General features: G+C 37.8%; 1 pseudogene across 4 annotated transcripts in view; it reads left to right on the top strand.

Moving 5' to 3' along the window:
• The window catches only part of ADAM3A (ADAM metallopeptidase domain 3A (pseudogene)), a 71,945-nt pseudogene extending 63,804 nt beyond the window's left edge, over positions 1 to 8,141 (top strand). For all 4 annotated transcript variants that reach the window (NR_001569.3, NR_024106.2, NR_024107.2 and 1 more), the window contains 3 exons: positions 3,682 to 3,847; positions 5,086 to 5,136; positions 8,025 to 8,141. The product of NR_001569.3 is annotated as an ADAM metallopeptidase domain 3A (pseudogene), transcript variant 2 (transcript). The remainder of the gene's footprint in view (positions 1 to 3,681; positions 3,848 to 5,085; positions 5,137 to 8,024) is intronic.
• Positions 8,142 to 20,699: the final 12,558 nt, after the last annotated feature.

The raw sequence follows: 20,699 nt of genomic DNA, 5'->3' as shown, positions 1-20,699 counted from the left end.
TCTCTCTTCCTTGTACTTGTTTTTGTCTTGTTTTGTTGTCAACTAAAACTGATATCATAAAATGAATTGGGAAGTGTTTACTCCTCTTCTGTATTCTAGAAGTGATTGCTTAAAATTAGCATTAAAAAATATTTAGTAATAATGTCCAGTGAATTCATATGGGTCTGGAGATTTATTCTGTGGGGAGCTTTTAAAATAAAGATTTTTCTTAAATAAATATTTTCTTAATAAATATGTAAACAATAATGTTATCTATTTCATATTAGATGAGTTAAAGTAGCTTATGCTTTTTCATGGAACTGACCAACTGATTTCTTTTTACTTCTATCAATTACTAAGAGAGGAGTTTTTAAAAATTCTAATCATAATTATGTACTTTTTTTCATTTTATCAGTTAGTTTGTTTCTTCATTATTGTATGTGTAGTTTAGATTTATTTCTGGTGCATTGTTGCTTTTATTATTTCTGTAATGTTTATCTTTCTCTTGAATTCTATTTTGCCTGAAATTAACCCTTATTAGTTACCTATAACTTGTAGGCCCAAAACTATTTTTTATATAAAAAACATATTACAGGAAATATATAAAAGTAGAAATAAAAGTAGTGAAATCAGCTTTATGAAAAATTTCAATAAAAATTTTAAATATAGAAAGCTCAGTATTTACTCTAGTCTTTGAAGGGTATATAACTAAAGTGTTCTATGTGTTTTGAATACAGTTCCTGCTGTCAAACATGGATCTAGAACATATCCTTTCTATGACTGCAAGGAACATTTGAAGTACATCTCTAGTAGGTTAGAGGTGACTATACTTTGTGATTCTTTTTTTGTGTGTGCATTTACATCTTCAAAAGACAACTTTGATGGTCACAGTTTTCCTGATGTTATCCTGTTTGTACTATAATTAAAATATTTTCAGTTCATTTTAATAAACATCTAAAATAATTACTCAGTTTTTAAACTCCTACACTGACTCCATTCAATCAACTCTGCATAAATATTTAACTTCACTGTGTCCACTTGTGAACAATATCCAATAAATGTTCATGAACATCTTCCATAGAAGCTGGAATACTATTTATTCTAGATCTTATTTACAGTCCAAGAAATCCCAGGTATTTATGAAAAATATTGCTTGCTGAAGTCCTTCCTATTATATGATTACTGGATGAGAATTCTATGTATCCATTTTGTCTTTTGAAATATATCATTGACTCACTGATTCTTCACTTGAAAAAAATTAGGATATCATCATCTAAAGATTTGTAGTCTGATATTTCATTTATATGGTCAACTGCAACATTTTTGTAGACTAAATGTTTGCATTCCTCAACATTTTTGTCATGTAACCTAATTCATAATGTGATGGCACCTGGAGGTGGAGTTTTTGGTATCTAATTAGGTTATGAAGGCAGAGCCTTCTTGAATGGGATTAGTGTTCTAATAAAAGAAAACCAAGAGAGATCCTTCATCCCTTCCACTATGTAAGATTAGAACGAGAAGATTATTATGAACCAGGAAATAGGCCCGGAGAATAAATCTGCCAGTGCCTCTATTTTGGAATTGCCTGCCTCCAGAACGATGAAACATACATTTCTGTTGTTTGTAAGCCACCCAGTTTATGATATTTTTGTTACAACAGCCTGAACAGACTAAGATAATCATTACAGGCTAAACTGTTGCTTTATGTTTCTTTGCATTTGTCAGATTAATAATTGTATAATATTTTGTTTCATCAATAGTCTTCCTCATATTATTACAAGCAGTTAAAAAAAAAGGCTGAATTCTCAAATGTGTTCAACAAAAGCTATGACAGAAAGACAGAAGTCTCCAGGACTTTGTTGTACTTTCTTGACAGTTGATATATCACATTGGACAAAAATATAAGAAAGCTGAAATTTTCCAGAGGAATAAAAAATGGATCCCAGAAATAAATCTTCGCATGTATGGTCTAATGATTTTCAAGAATGCCTAGACCATTTACTGGAGGAAGTTCAGTCTTTTCAATGTATCATGTTGAGATATCTGGGTATTTGCATGCAAGAGAATGAGGTAGGGCCTTTGTTGATACCATATACCAAAATTAACTCAAAATGGATCAACAATCTAAATGCAAGAACTAATATTATAGACCCTTAAAACAGAAGACATAATAGGAAATTGTAATAACATGGAATTTGGCAATGATTTCTTTGATATGACTCCAAAAGCACCATCAGTAAATGAAAAAAACAGATAAATTAGGATCCATCATGATTACAAACTGTTGTGCATCAAAGGATACTATCAAGAGTGAAAAGATAATCCATAGAATGGGCAAAAATATTGAAAATAATCTATATAATGAGGGATTAATATTAGGAATATATAAAGAACTCTTACAAGTCAATAACAACAACAAAACAAATAATTTCATTAAAAATGGGCAAAGTAGTTGCATACTTTTAATACATCTTTGAGGAAATGTAAAGCTGTGGAGTGGGCTAGTAAGCACAGAAAAAGTTGTGTTTTTCACATATTAATATTACTAATCCTTGGGGAATTACAAGTAAAAACCATAATGAAATACCAATTTGTACCTATTAGGATGGCTATTACAAAGAAAAATTCAAAGCATATCGAGTGTTGACCAGGATATGAAAAAATTGGAACTCTTTGCATTGCTGGTGAAAATGTAAAATAATGCAGTCTTTGTGGAAAACATCATGCTGGTTGCTAAAAATATTAAACACAGAATTAGCATATTATCCAGGAGTTCCACATCTACGTATATGCCCAAAAAAATTAAAAGCAGAGACTCGAGCAGATATTTGTATACCCATGCTTATAGCAGCATTGTTTACAATAGCCAAAACATGGAAAACCCAAATGTTTATTGACAAATAAATGGATAACCATAATAAGGTGTAGAAATACAATGGAAGATTATTCACCCTTGAAATGAACAATCCTGTCACACCCTACAATGTAGATATAAACTGAAAACCTTATGATTAAGTGAAATAAGCCAGTCAGAACATGACAAATATTATACAATTCTGCTTCTATGAGGTACCTAGAGCAGTCAAACTCAGACTCAAAGTAGAATGGTGGTTGCCGGTGCTGAGTTCTGCTTCCATTAGTACCTAGGTTAGTCAGATTCATGGAGTCAAAGTAGAATAATGGTGGCTCCTCTGGGGAGAGGGAAAAATGGTGGGTTAATATTGAATGGGTAAAATATTTCCGTTTTGCAGAATGAGAAAGTTCTGAAGCAGGGTGGTGGTGATGGTTGCACATCAATGTGAATGTACTTAATGCAGTTCACAAAAAGAAATATGATACACTAAAATAGATTATATCATATAAGTAAATATTAAGTATACATGAAGGGATTATAAGTAAATTTATGTCAATAAATATGTATTTTATGTGAATAAAAATTTTACTGTCAATAAAATAAGTACATTCATGACAATATTACATATTGCCAATGACTGTGTATTGTCAATTATATGTATAAGTGTATTGAGTTGACATACACAATGTATAATGCACTTTGGGGCCCAGTCAGAGAAGGCTAAAAACACTTTTAAATTCAAATATATTCATTCTTTAACTGTGTTGAGTTCTAAATTTCTATAATTCAAATTCTGGTATGATTTCATCATTTTTCAAATAGTTAAAAATGTACTCTCATGTTTTCAGAAAAAAGTGTACCCTTGCTTCCAAAACGACGTGCTGCTCCTAAAAACAATGGTCTTTTGATCAGTTTCTACATTTTTTCACCTTTGCTCATTTTAATTGCTATTGTTAGTCTTAAATGGAATAAAATGAAGAGATTTCGGAGCAAAGTGGGAACAGTAAGCAGCAGGTAAGTAAATGTATTATTTTTAATTTAATATTAAAATTCATTGTGGGAAGAATTCAGTGCAATTCAGAATCCAAGAAGAGACTCTAGGATGGTTTGGATTAATGTTTAGAAATATTGAGTAAGCTCACGCCTGTAATCCCGCCACTTTGGGAGGCCGAGGCGGGCAGATTGCCTGAGCTCAGGAGTTTGAGACCAGCCTGGGCAACACGGTGAAACCCCGTCTCTACTAAAATACAAAAAGTCGGCCGGGCGTGGTGGCATGTGCCTGTAGTCCCAGCTATCTCAGCTACTCGGGAGGCTGAGGCAGGAGAATTGCTTGAACCCAGAAGCCAGAGGTTGCAGTGAGCCGAGATCATGCCACTGCACTCCAGCCTGGGCAACAGAGTGAGACAAGAAATATTGAGTAAGTTCTCAGCATATAGCAAAGTTTTAATTTTTTTATTTCTTTATGTTTTTATTTTATTTCAATCATCTAAGTATCCTGCCTGTTCTTACAGGGCCAAGAACAATTAAAGCTATTCAGTAAAGCCTCATTGCCTTTCACATAGAAAGCCAAGTTTTCTACAATTGTTTAGGAAGTTCTGTTGACTTCCCAAGGAACCCCATTTCTCTTGCATTGACAACCAGTTGTGCCAAAAAGGTCCACAGAAATAGTCAGGGAAGAAAATTTTGTGAATAGAATATGTAGAAGGTAAGAAAAATTGGAGATGGTACAGAATGAGGGAGAGAACTCAGATAGGATACTTTGTATTTTGTGCATAATTAATATGGCTCATGTTTTTCTGAAATTATAAGTAAGGTACTTGCACAGCTTTTTTTTTTAACTCTAACACCACATCAAACCATAATTTGCTTTATGAATATGTAGGGATTTGATAATTCAAAAGAAAGAATAACTGGGATCATTGATTAAAACTGACAAAATCTGGTCACAACAGCCTAAGTTTTATAACAGTAAGTGGTTTCAGGGCTGCCAGGGTAAGAAATGAAGTAGGGCTGAAGCAAAATAGCAATGAACCAGATGATCAGGAACTAGGTCAATCTCTTTGTCACTCGAAGTCTTTATAATTGACATCACCCCTTCTTGTCTATGTCCATTGTTTCCAAATTGACTGCTCTGCTTGCACTTGGCCACTTGATACATATTAATTGATTAATTAGTGCAAATGTAGCTTTTTAAACTTTTCTTGATTTCGCTCAAGATTACAGTGTTTCCTAATGTTATCTCTTTTATACAGATCTATCTCAGAAGACAGCGGTAGTAACAGCAGCCAGTCACAGAGTTAAAGGTGACGTAAAATAAATTGTTAAGAAATAATACTCATGGAGTATTTTTTTACTTTTAACAATACCTCAGTATGAGAAAACTATTATTCCCATATTTCATCATCTTGACTCCTATGTATTAATACTATATAGTAAAACAAAGATAAGAAAATATATTTGATGTTAATTATGTTTTATACTTATTTAGAAATATTTAATGTTAACTAATATTTAGCCAGAGATTTATTGAACAACATTTTTGTAATAAGGAATGATGTTAAAGAGATTATAAATATTTTTGTAAAATATTCATAAACAATCATTATCTCCTCTGGCCTTATGTAAGGTTCTCATTGGGCGATTTACACAGATTGTCTCTCCACATTTACGATGATTGATCCTTACTAAAATGTCATAGGTATTGTTACCCATATTTTAGAGATGAGGAAATGGATAAAAGGAAATAAATTGATTCCCCAGGAAAATAGAATTTTAGTGAGTATTGTAGTGGAGTTTAACTTAAGACAATCCGACTTCAGAATTTAAACTCTTAAGATTGCCACAATCTGGAACAAATATAGCCTGATATATGACTGGGGATTGGGAATGGAATTTACATTGATTGAGACACATGAGATGCCAGGCAAAATGTTAAATGCACCTTTCTTCAAAGGCAGAACGATACTTTTTTTTTAATCTTTAAGATGGGATAAATATACATTCATATATATTGTTCAAAGTTCTAATTCATATGTGTAAAGAAATAATTATATTTGATGTGTTAGGCCTATCACTGGGAGTAAATGGAAAATTCAAAACTTCAACCAAGAGTGGAGATCAACAGTTCATCTAATTACTTAGCTGCCATTCCCTCATATCTGACTTTGTTTATAGTTAAGTCAGTGGGTCTCTGTTTCCTTATCTGCCACTAAGCATTGGGAATTAGAGAGATGCTATGGCCCAAGCTTTCTTATTTTAAATTGTAAATGGCTCATCATAAATACTACTCCCCTTATCCTGGGAAAAAGTCAAAACCAGACATCCAGGCTTTCCCAGAGATAAAGATAGAGCTTTTCCATTCCAGCTGCACATCAAATCTATCCCACACAGGCATATACTGGCATTATCCATGCAAATATCTTCACAGCAGCTTTCAAAACATATATATGATATGATGCTAAAATAAGTCAGAAATGTTGGAGAAATATCAGGGATGTCATTCTATCTGGAGCAGAGTTACCAAGAGGGTTGCAGTTGTGATAAGGCCAGAGAAGTAACACCCATGGAGGGTCTTGGCACTCTTGGAGGCCATCTGTCTTTTACTTTGAGTGAAAGGGAGGAATCACTGGATGGTGCAGATTCTAAGCATGTGACTTACCCTTTAAAAAGCTGCTTTGTTGAAAACAGTCTATATGATGGCAAGAGTAGATGTGGAGAAACTACTGCAGTAATCCAGGAGAGAAAAGATGGCGCTTCAGACCAGGGGTGGTAAGGATGGTCTTATGGATACATTTTGAAGGTAACACAACAGAATGTACTGACAGTTTGGATGCAGAATGTAAGAAAAAATGCTTAAATAATATGGCTATTGATATACAGCAGGAAAATAGCAAGGCTAAAAAGTAAAACCACCCTTCCTTATTTACAAAATTTTGGCTTTTTTTTTTTTTCCTTGAGATGGAGTCTCACTCTGTTGCCCAGACTGGAGTGCAGTGGTGTGATCTCGGCTCACTTGCAACCTCTGCCACCTGGGTTCAAGCGATTCTCCTGCCTCAGCCTCCCAAGTAGCTGAGACTACAGGCACACACCACCATGCTCAGCTAATTTTTGCATTTTTGGTAGAGATGGGGTTTCACCACGTTGGCCAGGATGGTCTCGATATCCTGACCTCATGATCCACCTGCCTTGGCCTCCCAAAGTGTGGGAATTTGCAAGTTTATGAATGCTGAGATGTAAAATCCATGTAGGTAACTATAAGCCAAAATAAGTATCTTGTATGCCACAATAAGGAGTTTAAATATTCTTCTATATGACTAAGAACATAGGTAAGGTACTTTTTAAGATGGTAAGAAAGGGATTTGGTACTATATGTCTTGCAGTTTACAAATTTCACTGGGATAAAATAGGGAAAGTAGATTCAGTCACAAATGGAAAGTAGTGAAGCAGTTAAGAGACTGCTGAATGCACAAGAAAGGTGTGATGAGGACAGGATTGGAGAGGAGGAAAAGCACAAAAACATTTTCAGAGGTATGACAGAGGCCCAATCTGTTAGAGTAGTGACTGGATGGACGTTTATGGGTTAGAATAAAAGAGAGAACTAAAAAAACCTCCACTCTTCTGACAGAATGGATAGTGACACCTTTTACCAGTGACACATTGTGTAGTAGAGAAATAACTGGTTTGGTTTGGGGTGAGGAAGTGGAGGGGAGTGAAGAGTTAGTTTGTCTTTGAACAAGTGTATTTAAGAACCCACTGGAAATGCACAGAGGGTTTTTGGAAGTTCTTTTCCTCCTCAGATACATAGAGAAAAATGTATAGTAATTCTTTATTATTTTTTCACATATTTATATTGCTGTTTTTTTCTGTTTCCTTTTTGTGGTTTTCCTTTATATTTTTCTTCTGTCTCTTTGTTGATGATTTTCATTTATCCATGTAAAGTTTAGAGACTATGTAAATTAAAAATATAAATATCAATTTGTAATATTCCCTTTTAATGTAGCAATTACAATCCATTTATGGAAAATAAATTTAGATTTATAAACTTCCTGAATCACAGACACAGACTTCACCAGTATAATCAGTGTCTCATTATACTAATTAAGTGTTCTACTAATAGTTGAATAGTAAATAACAGCTTTTATTAACAATGAAGATTTAACATTTTTATTTTTCTGCATTTCCTCTGCAACAGTAACCAAGTGATAAAATCAAAGCCATCGGATGAAGAAAGGATATTACCAAGAAACTCACCATTAACTTAAAACTTTCAACTTCACAGAAAAAAATAAATCATATGACTAAAAGCATACAAGCTTGTGTCTATTGATTCTTCTACCCTCCATGATCCTTTAGTGGGAGATGAGCGGCTTTGTGTCTTTGTAACTTTGGAAGTTGTTACATCATAAGCTTTATAGCCTTCTGAAACAAGAGAGATCACTGATCTCCCTCACAGGACATGCGGCAGGGGAGTGGCTCACCTGTTCGGTCACCCACCGCTCAAACCCCTCATCTGCTGGTCTGCTTGTCTTGCCACATCTGTAGCAGTTAACAGGTACACCCTGGGAATTCTGGGGTTTGTGGGCTTGCCTGGTGGATATTAAAGCCCTTGTCTCTTTCCTGTATTTCCCCTGTCTTTCCTGGGCCTCCCTGTCTCTATTATAAAAGACTGAGATGGCTACTTTCAGGAGGTTATGTAAAGTACTATCTGGTCCCAGGGCCTGTTTTTTGCAGCTTCCTCCTGATATCAGGGGCTGCCTGAATAATAAACTTATCCTCCAGGATTAGTTGTTCCACAACTGAATCAGGAGGTAAAGAGATGCTTTACCAAGGCCTCTCTAAGCCTTTCCAAGAAGGCAGTGGGATTTTCATCAACTCCCTGGTCAATCATGGATAACTTAGTGTAATTGAGAGGCTTGGTCCTGGTCCTACACACGCCCTCCATTATGCAAACCTGAAACTGTCTCCTCTTCCAGTCTCTCATCTCACCATTGGGATCCCATCCAGGGTAATTCATTAGTACTGTCTCTCTTCCAGTTGGATAATTTTCGCCCTCTTCCCTGATGCTGTATGTGATACAAAGCTCATCCCCAAATCTCTGCTGCTTGCAGAGCAGCCTGCTTCTCAGTGTCTGTCAGGGTCTGATTCAAAAGTAACAATGTCTCTCCAGAAGAGTTCAAATACTTGGATGAAATTCTGGAAAGCCTCTATATATTGGACAGGGTCATCTGAAAACTTGCCAAGATCCCCCTTAATTTGCTTTAACTCCTGTAGAGAGAAGGGGATCTGGACTTTACTGGGGTCAAATTCACCAGGCATCTGAGGCATCTGTTGGAAGGGCAAGAGTGAGACTGGGGCTTGTCTCAGGTGAGGATTTCTAGGAGGGGGTAAGTGAGAGGCTGAAGTTGGATAGGGAGATTGAGGTGGACCTGGAGGAGCAGGGCTGGAGGGAGCTGGCTCTTCTTCTGGGGGTGCCTCTAGGATTTGTATCTTTAGTTCCCTTGGCTCACCCCTTGCAGCCTTTCCTGAGACAACAAACAGGAGGGCTGGATCAATCCTACACTGTTAGCAAAGGTCTGGATTGCCTTTCAAGGTATAGAAAGCCTGCCCATATGGGGCCTCACACCATCTGTCCTCATGTCTACAGAAAAGGTCCAACTGCCTGATGGTATTGAAATGAATGGTCTTCCAGTCCATAAGTTGGCCAAAAATTTATGCAGAGGGCTATGAGGCATTTTTCCTCCACATTCTGAGTGTCAAAGCAGTTCCAGTGGTTCAGAATACACTCCAGAGGAGTATAAGCTGGGGGTGGTAAAGAGAGCTGGTTGCCCGTTCTGAAAGACAGGGAATAGAGGCATCCCTCAACTCTATTCTTTCTTTCAGTGAAAACCCAGGGTGTGAGAGAGAAAGCAAACATCCTCCCTTTCTCTTCCATCTTTTTGTCCTCAAGTTCTGGCAACCTTAGCAGGTGCCACCATGGGTGCTAATGCACCATGCACCCTTGAAGCAGGGAAGGCCTAGAGAATAGGAATTATCCACTCTCACCTATGCCTCCATCTTCCCAACTATTGGCAAACTTTGAGTTCCCTGGGCCTCATTATGCCATGGAACATGGCCTCCTTTCATGAGGTGGGGGTGGTTTAGTTGGCAGGAATTGGTCCTGCCCATTTACATTGTGCCTGTTGCCTGGCTTTGGATCCCTCAAATCTGATTTTCCTTGCTAAGACTTCAGCCTGACGCTTCGAATCGAGTTTGAGACAAAGTATTTCAGGGGCTGTATCTGTTTAGATTGTCTCAAATGAGCCCTGCTGAATTTTCAGTAATCAGCCAGTAGGGGTCACTCTTCCATTATTTTCTCTATTATAAGCAGAGTGCTGGGGGTAGGAACCCTCTCTTAGAAAATGTAAAAAAGAAAAAACAGCTTATGAGGCGAAAGAGGAAGGTCCTGGAGGAAGAACCCCTTGCTCAGTGCAAAGTGGGTCCCTTTAATCCTTGTATTCTTCCTCTGGTTCAGACCTGGCTAAATTCCTTGGCTGGGGAGGAAATGTTCTTTTGGCACAATGGGCAGGTAGCTGGCTGTGCTGGGTCCCTGTGGCAGCCACAGTCTTTTCCTGTCCCTCTTGTGCATGCTGTGGACACCTCTAGGTGCCTGAGTCAGGACAGGAGGGAGTAAGGAGAGGATGTGCTGTGGGCCACACGTGCCTGTGGCTGTCAGGCTGGGGATGGCACATTTAAGAACAAATGGGAAGTATTTGTTCTGATTTGCATCTTTGATGGCTGAGCCAAATGCTCATTCTATTTAATATTATTGCCGCAGCCTGTAGCAAAGCCTTTGACGTTATAAAGGAAGAGATAAGAGCCATTTTAAACTGAGAGAAGAAAAGACACCAAAGGAAGTCTGCGGTCTTGGCCTACGGAATTCAGTCCTGGAGCCTTTCAGCAAAAAAAAAAAAAAAAAAAAAAAAAAAAAGCTTTTCGTTGCCCCATGGCTTTACTCCAGTCCCATGTGGTGGCTAGACCTCCCCGGAGAGAAACAGAGCAGGAAAGAGAGAGGTGGCAGAGTCTTGGAGAAGAGGCAGATCTGACAGTTTTGCTTTTTAACTCACCTTTCTTTGTATTCTGGACAGGACCCCAGCTGAAACAGGAGAGTTCCTGGATCTCTTCACAGGAGGTGTGACAGGGGTGTGGCTTGCCTATTCAATGCCACCACTGCTCAAACCCCTAATGGGAGGGGGACCACTCAGACAGGGAGGTGCAGGAGCCAGGTTGAGTGCTTTGGGTTCCAGACCCATGGTAGTGTCTAGGGGGTGGGTGCCTGCAACCCCAGTGTTACAAAGCTCTTTCCACTTTGCCGTTCACATATGGCTTATGTTAACCAGCTCAGTAGACCCTCTGCCTTTTCGCAAGGGCAGAGGGACAATGTGACTGCTTTCTGTATTCCAGCTCCTGCCCAGAAGAATTGGGTCACACATGGGCTTAAAGGATGTGTAAGAGTTAAAGAAAGAGGAAAGAAACACAAAAAGTGGCCCAACAGTCAAAGACAGATATATTTTGGAGAATGAACCTGAGAGAGGCTTCTGGATGATTTCGGTCAGGAGCGCTCTCTCTTATGGACTAAGAGTCTTTATTGGTTTTTTAGGGTGAGAGAGCTTAACACAAGCTTGGAATGTTTCTGTGTAGGGGAGAAGTTTATGGCAGGGTTGGAATGTCTCTGGTCAGAGAGGAGGTTATCTTGAGGCTGACATCTCTCCAGCCAGAGGGGAGGTTATCTTGGGGCTGATATGTCTGTGGTCAGGGAGAAGTTTGGAATGTTTCTAGTCGGAGATGTTATTTGTGGTTTATGGTCATGCTGACCTTACCCATTAGGCTGATGCCCTTTGGATTTAGGCAGTTTTTGATCAAGGTGAACTTTAAAATGACCGTGCTTGTCCAAGATCGTGATGCTCCTGCTCTGTCAGGATGAATGAAAGGTTTTATTGAGTGGTGGAGGTAGCAATAAGTGGGATGGATGAGGAGCTGGAAGAGGGGAACGGAGTGGGAAGATGACCTTCCCCTGGAGTTGAGCCATCAAGTGGCCAGACTCCTCTCCAACTGACCCCAGCCAAACTCCTCTCAGTGTTCAGACTTTCCTCCTCTTCTCTCTTTCTCTGCCATGTCATTCTGCTGCCCGTCTGCTTGTTTTGCCTCCTCATCTGCTTGTCTGCTTCTGGATGCTAGAGTTCAAGGTTTATGTGAGTACAAGATAGGGGTCATGGTGGGCCAAAAGGCAACTTTTTGGGCATGAAAACGGGAATTCCTGTTCTCATTTAGGGCCATGGTATCCAGGCTTGAGGGCGGGCCTTTTCTGGGGAACCACCCTCTTCCACCCTGTGTTTCCCTTTCTGCAGTCCATATCACTTCCATTGTCCACTGCTCCTGCCCACTCTCAGATGCCCATGGCATGCTGACTGCTCTCATCCCAAGAGAGGAAACCTGCAGCCCACCCCCTTTTAATCGTTAATTATCCCCTTGTCCTCTTCATTCTAAGTTTTGGAATATTGAGAGAGGAGGTATTGCTGAGTAAGGTCAGCTCCACAGTCACATTAGTCATTAGCCTAAATCCTACCTTAAATGAATTGTTCAAACTGAGCTGTGGGTCATAGACACCTGTACCATCAGGTATTATGCTTCCTTGGCCCTGTATAAACTGTTCTAGAATATTTCTCTGTCCTTTGGGAAAACCTAAACTTGCCACTCTGTCTTCCCTGAAGCTGGGCTTTTCTGGGTAAGATTTTCTTGCCTCAGTCTCCCCTCCCCTCCCCCTCTTGCTAAGATGGGTGCATTTCTACACATCACAGAGCATTACACATGGATTAGGGATCCACCAGCCCACCTGGAATCCAATTAGGACCTACAGAGTCTCCATCACAAACCAAGATGCTCCTGGGACAGAGGTAGAGGAACCTCATCATAGAGGTCCAGGGTTTCCTATTCCAAATGTCCATCAACTGAAGAATGGATAAACAAAATGCGGTATATCCAAACAATGGAATATTATTCAGCCCTAAAAAGGAATGAAGCATTGACACTTTTACTCGACATGGTTGATCCTTGAAACCATTATGTATAGTAAATAAAGCCAGTCACAAACACCAGATATTTACATGTGTATTTATTTGTATGATACGTCCAGAACGGGGGCAGCTCTTAGTTTAATGGTTGTTTAGGGAGTAGAGGTGTGGGATAAAGAACTTGTGTATGGGAGGGTGATGGCTAAAGGGTATAGAGTTTCTTCATAATAAGATGAAACTTATATCACACATACCAGTGAACATACTAAAAATCATTTAGTCTTATGCTTTAAGTGGGTGACTTTTGTGGTATGTGAATTATATCTTAATAAGGCTGTTTAAAATGCAAATTGGGATGGTTCTACTAGATTTATCTCAACCTCATGGCAATGAGGGCAATTTTGGACCATCATGCTCACTGTCCTACCTCTTTCTCATGATTTCTATTGCCCAGATGTACCAGTCTCTAGTAGGCCTGAGTTTTAGTCCTGACTAGAGTTTTATTTTCAAACTGTCAACACAGTTCATCCCTGTAACATGGTGTACTGGGGTTTTAGGTAAGGGATGGGATAAAAGATGAGTTAGGGCTGGGCACTATGGCTTACACCTGTAATCCCAGCACATTGGGAGGCCAAGGTGGGTGGATCACAAGGTCAGGAGTTCAAGACCAGCCTGGCCAACATAGTGAAACCCCATCTGTACTACAAATACAAAAAAATTGCCAGGAGTGGTGGTGGGAGCCTGTAATCCCAGTTACTCGGGAGACTGAGGCAGGAGAATTGCTTGAACCCAGGAAGCAGAGGTTGCAGTGAGCCGAGATCACACCACTGCACCCCAGCCCGGGTGACAGTGCAAGACTCCATCTCAAAAAAAAAAAAAAAAAAAAAAAAAAAGATGAGTTAGTTCTGGACATGTGCAGTTTAAGATATTTGTCAAAGTTCAGGAAGGCAGATGCATACTCTTCCTTTTACAGTGGTGTCACTTTTCCTCTCTGCCCTCGCCTTGCTACCTTTCTGATCTCCACAGGTTCTTCAGTAGTGCTTAGAATCACTATTTACACAACACAATCAGGTTGCATTTTAAAGCTTTTCTTTCCCTTTCCTCCACTGATTCTAATCTAGTATTTTTAAAAAGATGCATAGTTGAATAAAAGTGTTTTTGATGGAATTATCAGGATAAAGTCCCATTTTCTTGATTTGTTTTTATTTGCAAAGATATTAAACATTTAAGTCAGCAGTGGTACATAAGAAGTTGTTAGTACTAATTGCTAGTAATGATAATTAATATTTCTATTTTCCTGTTTCTCCACAATAAATAAATCCTACCACAAAAAAAAAAAACTGTGATGCAGAGACATTTTCAAGAACCTCACTATGAGGGCAAATGATGCTTATTTGCCTTTACGTCACTACTAAAGGGTTTAAACAATTTAAGCTTCCCCACAACAAAGCAGTTGTGCTCCATTGTGTGTGCTTGTGTCTAGTGTTTCCTCTCCCTGCCCTGTTGAAGCTTCCCAAGCCCTTGGATTCCATAATGCTGAGCCAACTCAGGCAGAAAGCAACCTCGGTTGTCACCTCGAGGGTCCTTGGACAGCACACTATACTCTGAAGTGGCCCTTTGGCCCAGTGACCAAGAGCTGCCATGAACCTCAGGGGGCCTTTGTCCTTGGCTGTGCTTCCTGCACTCTGGCAAAGCCATGTTCTTTCTCTTTGCCTTCCTTGCTGAGCATGGAAGGCTACAAGCCCACCTAAGCCCATAGTAGCCTAAAATTTATTTTCCTTTTCTCAGAAGAGGGTTGGACTATTCCTGGAGAACAATTCCCTGTATCTCTGAGACCCTCTACAACCCCTTTCCCAGATCCCATGCTGGTGCCTCCCATGTGTCACACTGTCTCAGACCAGGCCAGGTGAGCCAAGGACATTAGCAGAGGAGATATCTGAGCTCAGGGCCCAGGGTCTTAGCTACCCACATGCAGCAAGACTTTCAGGGTCTCCCCACTCTATGATGGAGAATAGAGGTGGGGGTGCACTGCCTTCAATCTGAGGAGAAACGGGCTCCAGTGTGATTCAGAAGAGGAACTGGACTATCCTGTGGAACTGCAGTGACTGATTTTTTTGTTTGATATTTTGTATCTCAGTCATTTTCAATGTGCCATTGATAATGTCGTGAAAGTGTATATCACACTGGAGAGTGGACACTCATAAATAACTTTTCCTATATTTTGACCCCACCATTGACTCAGGATTAATAAGCATTGCTTGACTGAGATGATTGTTGATACAAACAACATAAAATCAAAAAATATTTTTCAACTGCAGATTCTAAAGGAATATTCTTGCATACCCCAGTTCCACAGAAGGTAGGGTAAAATGAGGATGAAATTTCAGAGAAGGTAAATGACCAATAATATTGATTTTACAAGTTGTAATTTTAAAGCATTTTTACTTCTTGTGTTTATTTTCATTTTTATTTTATTTATATTTATATTTGTACAAATGTATAGGGTGCATGTTTTTTTTGAAATTTCACTCCATGTGTGTAATATATAATTATCAAGCGAGGGTATTTAGGGTGCCCATCACCTGATTACGTAACATTTCATTAAATATAGTCATCCTACTCTGCTATCAAGCATTTAATTTATTCCTTCTACTTATCATCTGTTTGTACCTTCTAACAATAAGATATTATTTTTTCTTCAAGCTTAGATTTTCCTTTTTAAAGTTTTTGTACCATATTTAAATTCACAAATGCAGTAAAATGTATAGTTGTTTTATTGATTTATTTTCCACTTAGGATTCATCAGGTCTTGTATATTGGATCTGTGAGAATTTTGCATTTTAAAGAAATAAGCTACATATTTATAAATCTCCAACTGAGTATAAGCCATTGAAATAAAGAACAAGTTATATATTATGTCTAATGTGAAATTGAATATAGTTATACAAGTGGTTATTGGTGAGAAATTAAGCTAGTTGCATACTTATTAATATTTATAATGTGTAAATCGTATGTGTTTATTTTTTAAAAACTTTAGTATATTTTACATATCATAAAATTCACTGACATGTAAAATTCAATTTTTTAAATAACTTTATGCACTTTTGCAGCCATCAACCATGTATCAGTTTTAGAACATTTTGTTTTCCAAATAAGAGCTTTATGTCATTTCAGTTAATCTCTGTTCTCACCCACAGCTCCAGGCAACAATAAATCTCTGCTTTCTCTTTCCTGGTTTGCTTTCCTTTTTTTTCACAATTTCATGCAAATGAAATCAAATAGCCTTTTCTCTGCCTGCATCTTTTAAAATACATATTTATAACAACTGCCCCTTGTCTGCCTGCAACCATGTATTTGAACAAGGCTGGAGAAAATTATTCTCACTTAATTCATGACCACCCTAATTAATTAAGCCTTACAAACTTCATGGCCTTTCATGACTCTACAACAGCAATAAAAATGTTTACTTTTAAGAGATCATCAGTGGTCCTTATATTTTTTAATGCCAAAGGCTGTTTTTTAATCTTCACTTTTGTTGATCCTATTTGCAGCATTTGGCATAGCTGGTAAGTGTCTACTCCATGAATTACTTTCTTCATTTAGCTTCTAGAATATTCCAGTCTCATGATTTAATTCTTGCCATTGCAGTTATTCTCTCTTTCTTTCTCTTTCTCTCAGCTCTCTCAAAGATTTGCTAATAACAATAATGTCAATCATACAGAATTATTAATATACATTTACAGGAAGAAAAAAGTTGTGAAAACTCTCTGTACTCTTTTCCACCTATGGCCCAACAAGTACTCTCTTGTGCCTGGGTTTTATCACTGTCACATGCACCTTCTATCTATGACAGTCAAATTGAAGTAGTGGTCAAATAAATGCAATAAAATATTTGAACTAAATACTCAACATGGAAAAAAATATCAATCTTGAGTAATATGTCTAGCTCAAGAGAGAAGCATGTGACAAATGTCAAAGACAGCTAAGTCTTGCTTTAAAATGTGAAGAATCAGAATACAAACAGCTGATTTCTTATTATATGCATGAAACAAATACTTCTGGAATAAGAATTATCAAAGATAAATAGAAATAATGTTTGAGTTATGAATTTAATATTATACACATTTATAAACAATAAAATTAATATGAATGTATAGGATTCATATAACAGCATTTTTTGATGATGGTAATTTCACTATGTCTTAGCAATTAAGTAATTGGTTGAAATTCACTGAAATGGTGCATCAGAGAGTTCAGACTTTCTTAACACTGGAACAGACTCTGTGACTCCTTTGTATCAGATAGTAGCATGTGTGGCTGTGTATGTGTTCACTCAACAAATACTTAGTGTCTACTATCTGACAGACACTCTTCTAGGCACTGGGATACAGCAGTAAACAAAAGACAAAATTCTTAGTTTTCTAGCATTTTAGATAACAATAAATTAAGCCTGGGTGTGAAAGACTGATGGTAACAAAATGTAAATTGGATGACATGGAAAATTTCATTGAATAGGTAAATAAAGATATAAAGTAGAAGTAACATGTATTTTCACATAAATGTTATTCCAGACAGAGTTAGGAAAAAATGCAGAGACCCTGAGGCCAAAGTATCCTTTGTTTATACAAAGAACAGCTAGGGGACAATGTGCCTGGAGTGAGTGTGAATGTAGTTACAGATGGTGTCATAGAAATGAGACATCATCAGAGAGTTAGAACAAATAAGTGACAGCATCAGACCAATATTTTCATAGAATAATCTTCAGGGCAAATAAGCAGAAGTAAGGAGACCAGTTAGAAGACTATTACAGTCATCCACACAACATGATGATGGTTTTAAATAGAATAGTAGCAGGGGTCGAGGCCCAATTCTGGATATACTTTAAAGAGAGAAACATGAGATTTAATAATTCACTGGATTTGAGGGGAAAGAAAAGTAACAAAAAAAGATGGCAAAATGACTCCAAGGTTTTGTTCTGAAAAACTAGAATAATGCAGATGGTATTGGGAATGTGATCAGGAGTCCATTAGGAACATGTTAAATATGAGACTTCTAGTAAGTATCTTCATGTGGAACTATCAAGTAAGTAGTCAAATAATTGAATCTGGAGTTCACTGAAGAAGTATAAAGCCGAGATAGATACTGGGAGTAATTAACAATATATAATTATTATGTTACTATTTTTACTTTTAACAAATACAACTGTATCTATATATAGGGTAAAATGTAATGTTTTGATATATGCATACATTGTGGAATGATCAAATCAGGTTAATTAACATTTCCATTAACTCAAATATTTATTATTTCTTTACTCAAGAACATTTAAAATCATCTCTTTTAGCTATTTTTAAAGATATAATAATAAACCATAAGACTAGATGAGATAGGCAATAATGTATCTAGAAAAACAAAGTTCAAAGACAGCACCATGGAGCTAATTTCCAGAGACAGATCAGGAGGTATTGGAAAAAAAAAAAACAGAAGCAGTAACTACATTAGCAAGAGTTAAAGAAAGCCTGTGGTATCCTGTAGCCAAATGAGGAAATATTTTATACAGGAGAGACTGATCAGCTATGCCAAATGCTGCTGATTGGTCGAAAAAAATAAAGACTAAGAAATAACCATTGCTTCTATTCAGCAAGAAGATGTAACTGCTCTCAATTTATACATACCTGACATTGGAGCACTAGATACATAAAAAAGAAGTTTTTCTAGATCTACAAAAAGGTTTAGAAAGCCATACAAGAATAGTGAGGGACTTCAACATCCCCCTGACAGCATTTCACAAAATATTAAGGCAGAAAACTAACAAAGAAGTTCTGCACTTAAACTCAGCACTGGATCCGTTGGATCGAATAGACATCAACAGAATACACCACCCAACAGCAACAGAACATACACTCTTCTCATCTGCACACAGAACTTACTCTAAGATCAATCACATGCTTGGTCATAAAGTAAGTCTCAAATAATCCACAAAAATTGAAATCATACCAAGCAATAAAAATATAAATCAATACCAAGATCTCTCAAAACCAAACAATTACACAGAAATTAAACAATTTGCTCCTGAATGACTTTTGGGCAAACAAGAAAATTAATGCAGAAATTTTAAAAATTATTTGAAATAAATGAAGAGAGAAACACAACATACTTGGTATCTTTGGGACACAGCTTAAGTAATGTTAAGCAGAGAGTTTATAGTGTTAAACATCTACCATCGAGAAGTTAGAAAGATCTCAAATTAACAACCTAACATCACAGCTGAAGGAACTAGAAAAACAAGAGCAATCTGCCCCCAAAGCTAGCAGAAAAAAAAAAAGTATCCAAAATCAGAGCAGAACTGAACAAAATTGAAAATGAGAACATACATCAAAAAAAAAAAAAAATCAATGAAAGTCCAGTTACGGTTGCTCAGGTCTGTAACCCCAGCACTTTGGGAGGCCAAGACAGGCAGATTACTTGAGGCCAGGAGTTTGAGACCATCCTGGCAAATCTGGAGAAACCTTGTCTCTACTAAAAATACAAAAATTAGCCAGGTGTGGTGATATGTGCTTGTAATCCCAGCTACTCAGGAAGCTGAGGCATGAGAATTGCTTGAACGAGGGAGGCAGAGGTTGCAGTGAGCCAAGATCTTGCCACTGCACTCCATCCAACCTGAATAACAGAGCAATACTCTGTGAAGGGAAGGAAGGGAAGGGAAGGGAAGGGAAAGGGAGGGGAGGGGAGGGGAGGGGAGGGGAGAGGGGGAGGGGAGGGGAGGGGGGAGGGGGAGGGGAGGGGAGGGAAGGGAAGGGAAGGGAAAGGGAAAGGGAAAAAATAAAATCATTGAAACCCAGAGTTGGTTCTTTAAAGAATAAACATGATTGATACATTGCTAGCTAGGTTAACAAAGAGAAAAAAAAGAGAAGATCTAAATAACGCAATCAGAAATGACAAAGGTAGTTTTACAACCAACCCTACAGAAATACAAAATATCCTAAGAGACTATTATGAACACCTCTATGGAAACAAACCAGAAAATATATAAGAAATGGATAAATTACTAGAAATGCACAACTTCCCAAGATTGAACCAGGAAGAAATTGAAACCCTCAACAGAACAATAATGAGCTTTTTTCTTTCTTTTTTACTGTTTTTGTTTTGTTTTTATTTTAAGGTCCAGAATACAAGTATAGAAGGTGCAGGTTTGCTACATAGGTATTCGTGTGACATGGTGGTATGCTGCACCTATCAACCCATCACCTAGGTTTTAAGCCCTGCACACATTAGCTATTTGTCCTGATGCTCTCCCTTCCTTTACCTCCCATCAAAGACCCTGGTGTGTGTTGTTCCCCTCCCTGTGTCCATGTGTTCTCATTATTCAACTCCCACTTATGAATGAGAACATGCGGTGATTGGTTTTCTATTCCTGTGTTAGTTTGCTGTGGATGATGGCTTTCAGCTTCATCCATGTCCCTGCAAAAAACATCATCTCATTCTTTTTGTGGCTGCATAGTATTCCATATTGTATATGTACCACATTTTCTTTATCCAGTCTATCACTGATAGGCATTTGGGCTGGTTCCATGTCTTTGCTATTGTGAATAGTGCTGCAATAAACATATGTGTGCATGTATTTTTATAATACAATAAATTATATTCCTTTGGGTATATACCCAGTAATGGAATTGCTGGGTAAAATGGTATTTCTGGTTCTAGATTCTTGAGGAATTGTCACACAGTCTTCCACAATGATTGAACTAATTTACATTCCCGCCAACAATGTAAAAGCGTTCCTATTTCTCCACAGCCACAGCAGCATCTGTTGTTTCTTG

Source organism: Homo sapiens, chromosome 8 (genome assembly GCF_000001405.40).
Source record: "Homo sapiens chromosome 8, GRCh38.p14 Primary Assembly".
In the NCBI taxonomy this organism is placed as follows: Eukaryota; Metazoa; Chordata; class Mammalia; order Primates; family Hominidae; genus Homo; species Homo sapiens.
This window is presented reverse-complemented; position numbering and strand designations above follow the sequence as displayed.